General features: G+C 47.7%; 2 annotated features.

Moving 5' to 3' along the window:
- Positions 2,003-3,202: an enhancer, noted in NCBI's record as "BRD4-independent group 4 enhancer chr17:16419598-16420797 (GRCh37/hg19 assembly coordinates)". NCBI's record gives its function as "activates an origin of replication core promoter dependent on BRD2, P300/CBP, MED14 and CDK7 cofactors, and independent of BRD4, by STARR-seq in HCT116 cells {active_cell/tissue: HCT116}" and the evidence as "EXISTENCE:reporter gene assay evidence [ECO:0000049][PMID:35650434]".
- Positions 7,011-7,060: an enhancer, noted in NCBI's record as "active region_11767". NCBI's record gives its function as "activates an Ori minimal core promoter by ATAC-STARR-seq in GM12878 lymphoblastoid cells {active_cell/tissue: GM12878}" and the evidence as "EXISTENCE:reporter gene assay evidence [ECO:0000049][PMID:35858748]".

Raw genomic sequence — 7,060 nt, forward strand, 5'->3', positions numbered from 1 at the left:
AGTTCCCTTCTGCAGGAGCTGGTTCTCAATTGCGCGTGTGGAGTCAGAGCACAATCACATCTCAAACTCAACACGTGCAGGGTGGAGGTCGCTTCCTCCCCACACCCTTGCTCCTCTCGCTTCTCTTTCCCTCAGCATTTCCCTGCTCCTCATCCAACTTGCAGCCAACTCTTGTGGATTCTACATTCCCAGCATCTCTCTGGGACCCTACCTCTCCATCCTGGCTACCCTTGCCTTAGTCCCAGCCAGAATCATGTTTTTGTTTTGTTTTGTTTTGTTTTCCCAAGACAAAGTCTTTTTCTGTCACCCAGGCTGGAGTGCAGTGGCTCGATCTTGGCTCGCTGCAACTTCCGCCTCTTGGGTTCAAGTGGTTCTCCTGCCCCAGCCTCCCGAGTAGCTGGGATTACAGGCGCGTGCCACCACGCCTGGCTAATTTTTGTATTTTTAGTAGAGACAGGGTTTCACCATGTTGGCCAGGCTGGTCTCGAACTCCTGACCTCGTGATCCACCCACCTCAGCCTCCCAAAGTGTTGGGATTACAGGCGTGAGCCACGGTGTCTGACCCATGTTTTATGTCTGTTAGTGTGACCCCTATCTTCTTGCCTCCAGTTCTTCTCTCCTTTTAGCTCCTCCATGCCTCCTTTAAATGATCTTCCTATAATACAGCATTGTACTATATCTGCAATACAGCATTGTATCCGACTTCCTCCTTTCATTTATTTATTTATTTTTTTTTGAGATGGAGTCCTGCTTTTGTTGCCCAGGCTGGAGTGCAATGGCACAATCTTGGCTGACTGCAACCTCTGCCTCCCGGGTTCAAGTGATTCTCCTCCCTCAGCCTCCCGAATGGCTGGAATTACAGGTGCCTGCCACCACGCCGGGCTAATTTTTGTATTTTTAGTAGAGACAGGGTTTCGCCATGTTGACCAGGCTGGTCTTGAACTCCTGACCTCGTGATCTGCCTGCCTTGGCCTCCCAAAGTGCTAGGATTACAGGCGCAAGCCACCGCGCCCAGCCTGACTTCATCCTCAATACCTCAATACCTTGAATGCTGAATTAAGTCCCAAATCCTTGTCACCAGAGGCCCTTCATGGCCGGGCCCCTGCCCATCTCTCCAGCCTCCCCTCCATCCCTTGCACCCTACACTCCAAGTCTGCAGAACTGTTTGGAGGTGCCCAGAGTGTACTACCCTACCCTACCACACTGTGCTGCTTCCTTTTCACAAACACCTCTGTATTCGTTTGCTAGAGCTGTCATAACAAAATACCACAGCCCGGGTGGTTTAAACAACAGAAAGTTGTTTCTTCCCAATTCCAGAGGCTAGAAGTTCAAGATCAAGGTGTTGGCAGGGTTGGTTCCTTCAGAGGCCTCTCTCCTTGCTTGTGGATGGCATCTTCTCCCTGCCTCTTCGCGTGGTCATCCCTTTGTGGGTGTCTCTGTGGGTGTCTGTGCCCTAATCGCCTCATAAGGACACCAATCCTACTGGACTGGGGTCCACCCTAATGACCTCATTTTGACTTAATTACTTCTTTAGAGACCTATCTCCAAATAAGGTCCTATTCTGAGGTTGTGGGTATTAGACTTCATGAATAATTTTGGGGGGACCATAATTCAGCCCATAACGCTTCTCCCTCTGGCTAAAAATGAATGTCATTCTCACATGCAAAATACATTCACCCCATCCCAACAGTTTCCAAATCTTAACTCTTTGCAGCACCAACTTTTAAGTTCAAAATCTCATCTAAATCTCATCTAAACCCAGTATGGGTGAGGCTCCCAGTATACTTCTTCCTGAGGCAAAGTTTCTCTCCAGCTGTGAAACTGAAACCGGACAACAAGCTATGTACCTCCAAGACCTAGGGGTGGGGCCAGCATAGAAAGAAATTGGAAAGGAGAAAGGGGTCACGTGTTAGGGTACTTCCATGTATGCATTTTTGAGGTTAACTCAATGGAGAGTAGCCTCCCTTAGTGAACCTGGAAGATGCCACACGCCATTTAACGTCCACTTATCAGGGTGCCCATTTGGAAGCCTCTTCCTCCTGTGCTTCTCCGTACGCCACCCAGTATATCTCTCCATCTCAGTGCCATAACACTCACCACATCCATCTGATGGCTGACTCTCTTCCCTGCCAGACTACACACCTCACGACTTCCAGTACATGCTCTATGAGTGACTATTACGCACATAAACCCCATGAGAGGGGCTTTGTTGTTTTGTACATGCTGTGTCCTCAGAGTCTAAAACAAGTCTGGTAGATGGCAGGTAATCAACAAATATTTGTTGAATCCGTGAGTGAATACAAATAAACACACACACCAAACGTGTATCATGTGCACATTCTGGATTCTGATTTTCCAGGAGTCTGTGAATCTATGCAGTTTCTTCAAGGAGAGTCCAAGGGGACATCAACACACTCCTCCTTCCCCTCAGTGGCCGGATACCAGCTGAGCAACCGTCAGATGTCTCCGGGTCTCCCGATGACTCACTGAATGCTTTCTTTGGGAGGAGTGGGAGGAGAGGATGGCTGACAAAAATAACTGCGGGCACTTGAAGCGGCATCAAGCCTCTGTCGGCGGGGGAACAACGGGGGCGCATCTGAAGGTTTCTCCCAGGCGGGGCGGGCAGCTCTCTATTCTTCAGCACCGGAGGTTCTCCTATGTGTTTAGAGAATTAGATAAACGTAGAGTGAATGGAATAAAACCGGCATTGCTCCCAAGCAGTCAGCTGCTCTTGCCATATGTGAAATTCTGTATCAGCTGTGAAGGAAACACACAGGAAGGGAGCTTAGTGAACACCGTTAAGGTGATCATTCTGTGTGTCTGTCTTTTTTTGTTCTTTAAAAAGGGCTTTATGCTTTGTATTTTATCTCATCTGATGATCACATCAATCAGGTCAGAAGGGCACTTTCACGGAAGAAAAAGGCTCAGAGAGAATCACTGACTTGCTGGAGAGGATCATTAGAGCATGGTTCTCAACATGTGGTCCAAGGACCAGCAGTGTCACCACCACCTGTGAACCTGGTAGACACGCAAACTCTGGGCCCTTTCCAGATCAGAAACTCTGGGGTGGGGCCCGGGAGCCCATTGTACAAGACCTCCAGGTGATTCAAATGCATAGCTGAGTTTGAGAACCCTTGGCTTAGAGTCACACAGGTAACAAGTTACAGATCCTGGGTGAGAACCCAAGGATGTCCTTGGATACTATACTTCAGTGAGTGACTTGCATGTTAGTAGCTGACAATATCTCTCAGGACAATCCCTTGCAATATTAATTTACATTTTGCTTTTGCTTCTACTTCAGTTTATGAAGCCCGGCACAGTCCAGTTCCGGCTACAGCTCCAGCTTCCCTCCCACTCACTGTGCTGGGGCCACACTGGCCTTCTCTCTGTTCTTTAGACACAGCATGCCCTTTTCTGCTCCAGGACCTTTGCACATACTGTTTCCTCTGCCCAGAATGCCATCCCTGCTAGCTTGATTCTTCTCACTTTAAGTCTCGAGGCAGTCATCCTCTTTTCAGAGAGAACTTTAGGACATGCCCATGATGCTCACAGATCGTTCTGTTTAGTCGCATCATAGCACTCGACACCTCCCGAAGTTAACTTGTTTGTTTATTTTATTTTATTTTTGGAGACAGAGTTTCACTCTGTTGCCCAGGCTGGAGTGCAGTGGCACGATCTCGGCTCACTGCAACCTCTGCCCAAGTAGCTGAGACTACAGGCACACGCCACTACACCTGGCTAATTTTATTTTATTTTATTTTTGTATTTTAGTAGAGACGGGGTTTCACCGTGTTGCCCAGGCTGGTCTCAAACTCCTGAGCTCAGGCAATCCACTCGCCTCCCAAAGTGCTAGGATTACAGGCATGAGCCACTGCGCCCGGCCACCTTGTTTGTTTATTAGAAAGTAAATTCCCTGAGAGCAGGGTCCTTCTGGTCCTATCCAATATTGTGTTTCCCAAGTTCACCACAGTGCTTGGCATATAGTAGACACTCAACAAACACTTACTGAAAAAATAAACCATGAACTAGAGGCAACTTGAAAGAGGGAAAAAGCACTTTCCTCCATTCTTGAATCCTGTAAGAATGGCCAGTCTAGGCTGGCTCTCCTTTGGGGAAGGGGGCAGGAAGAAAAATTAACAGTTTCTTGGTTATCAGGGATGCCTAATGGAAGCTGCAGTTGCCACAGATGGCAGGGGAGGGAAGTTAGGCTTAGATGGGAAGAGTGTGGCTGCCTTAAGACTTGCAAGGGGACAGCTCTCTCTCGGTTTTGTTTTTTTTGGAGACGGAGTCTTGCTCTGTCACCCAGGCTGGAGTACAATGGCGCGATCTCGGCTCACCACAACCTCCACCTCCCAGGTTCAAGCGATTCTCCTGCCTCAGCCTCCTGAGTAGCTGGTATTACAGGCATGCACTACCACACCCGGATAATTTTGTATTTTTAGTAGAGACGGGGTTTCTCCATGTTGGTCAGGCTGGTCTCGACCTCCTGACCTCAGATGATCGGCCCGCCTCGGCCTCCCAAAGTGCTAGGATTACAGGCATGAGCCACCGCGCCTGGCCTCGGTCTTTTTTTTATTGTGGTGAAAAACATGTAAGATGAAATCTACCCTCTTAACAAATTTGTAAGTGTAGAGTACAGGCTTGTTAACTTTAGAACTTTCTCATCTTGTGTGACCGAAACTCCACATGCATTGAGCATCAGCTCCCCATCTCTCCTCCCCAAGCCCTGGTAACAAGCTTTCAGCTTTCAGCTTCTATGAGGTTTTTTTTTTTTTTTTGCTTTAGATTCCATATAAATGGAATCATGCAGTATTTGTCCTTGTGTGACTGGCTTATTTGACAACAAATGTCTTCAAGGTCCATTCATGCTATAGTATGTGTCAGAATTTTTTTCCTTTTTAAGGCTGAATGATATTCCTTTGTATGCATGAACCACACTTTCTTTGCCCATTCATCTATTAATGCACTCTTGGGTTGCTTCTGCCTTTTGTCTACTGTGAATGATCTTATTATGAATGTGGATATACAAATGTTTCATTGAGACTTTGCTTTCTATTCTTTTGGGTATATACTCAGAAGTGGGAATGCTAGATCATTTGATAATTCTATTTTTAATTTTTTGAAGAGTCTCTGTTTATCTATTTATGAGACAAGATCTTGCTCTGTTGCCCAATGGCTTGATCATAGCTCAATGTAGCCTTAAATTCCCAGGCTCAAGCCTCCTCCTACCTCAGATCCCCAGGTAGCTGGGACTACAGGTGTGTGCCATCACGTCTGACTAATTTTTTATTTTTTGTAAAGATAGGGTCTCACTGTGTTGTCCAAGCTGGTCCTGAACTTCTGGGCTCAAGCAATCCTCCCGCCTTAGCCTCCCAAAGTGCTGGGATTATTGGCTGAGCCACTGTGCCCAGCCCATACTGTTTTTATAGTGGCTGGGCCATATCGCAGTCTTACCAATGGTGCACAAGGGCTTCGATTTCTCCACATCCTCATCAACCCTCGTTTTATGATTTTTGTTTTGTTTTTCAATAATGGCTATCCTAACAGGTATGAGGTGATTTCTCATTGTGGTCTTGATTTGCATTTCCCTGGTGATTAGTGATGTTGAGTACATTTTCATGTGCTTGTTGGCCACTTGTATATCTTCTTCGGAGAAATGTCTGTTAAAGGTCTTTCCTCATTTTTTTTTTTTTTTTTTTTTTTTTGAGAGGAAGTTTGACTCTTGTTGCCCAGGCTGGAGTGCAGTGGCGCGATCTCGGCTCACTGCAAGCTCCGCCTCCCGGGTTCAAGCTATTCCTCTGCCTCAGTCTCCTGAGTACCTGGGACTATAGGCACACACCACCACACTGGGCTTATTTTTTTTGTATTTCAGAGGAGACTGTGTTTCACCCTGCTGGCCAGGATGGTCTTGATCGCCTGACTTCGTGATCTGCCCGCCTCAGCCTCCCAAAGTGCTGGGATTACAGGCGTGAGCCACTGCGCCCGGCCAGGTCTTTCCTCATTTTTAGGTTGGGTTGTTTGTTTTTGTGGCTATCTATTAAATTTTCGATCCAACTTTTGATTCTGCCATTTACAGAGCACTGTATGTCAGGTATTGTGGGAAGCCCTTAACACACACAATCTCATTTTATCCTTACAACAGCCTTGAAACATAGATACAATAAGAATTCACATGTTACAGATGAGGCATCAAAGCACAGACAGGTTAAACTACATGCCCAAGGTCACATAGCTAGTAAGTGTCCGAGAGGGTCATCAGACCAGACCAATCTGATCCTAGTCCGGATCATAATCTAGAAGCCCTCACTGCATCTCACCACTGTGCAGGTTGATAGGGAGGCTGGGGCAGGGTCCTGTAGCAAATCACAAGGGTGTCTTCTCTATAGTCCAGTGTGCTGGGAAGACAACAGGTTGGGAGGTAGGATCCTGGGATCTGCTGATCTCAGTGCTGCTCCGACTGGCTGGGGAGCTTCTGGCACAGTCACCTCGTGGCGCTTGGCCTTAGTGAGAGCATTGAGTCAAGGGATGGGATGATGTTTTGAAAAAATAGTGTGTCAGAAAGGAAGTACTGCTAGGAGTCCCAAGGCTGGTGCATACATCATGCCGGCGTCTTCCCTCATCTCAGAACCCAGAGCCTGTCTCCTGGCTGGGGGCTCACAGAGGGTCCTGGCTGGTAGAAGTCTTGCTTTTGGTGTGTTAAACACCCACAGAGTTGGAGCAGAGAGGATGGGGAGCCTGGTGCTGGCCTCCTTGTTGGGACTGGCCTCTGCTGTACAGGGGTCTTCAGGAGGCAGAGGGATGGGGTGGAGGGGTTATATGGGTATAGAGAGTTGAGGCTTCCAGGCCCCACTTTGCCATACTAACCCATCAGACTGCAGGCAAGTTAAGCTCCAGGACATCTGATCAGCACCAATTCTTTCCCTTCCCTGGTTCCCTCTCCGCTTTGCCCCGTCTCACTCCACATGAGTACAACCCTAATGGCACCTCAGGAGAACACCTGTCTGCCTTGGAGGAGGCTCAGCCTGAATCTGAGCCTGTCTGCTCTCTGAGTCCAAACTAA

The sequence above is a fragment of the Homo sapiens genome, chromosome 17 (assembly GCF_000001405.40).
Source record: "Homo sapiens chromosome 17, GRCh38.p14 Primary Assembly".
Lineage (NCBI taxonomy): Eukaryota > Metazoa > Chordata > Mammalia > Primates > Hominidae > Homo > Homo sapiens.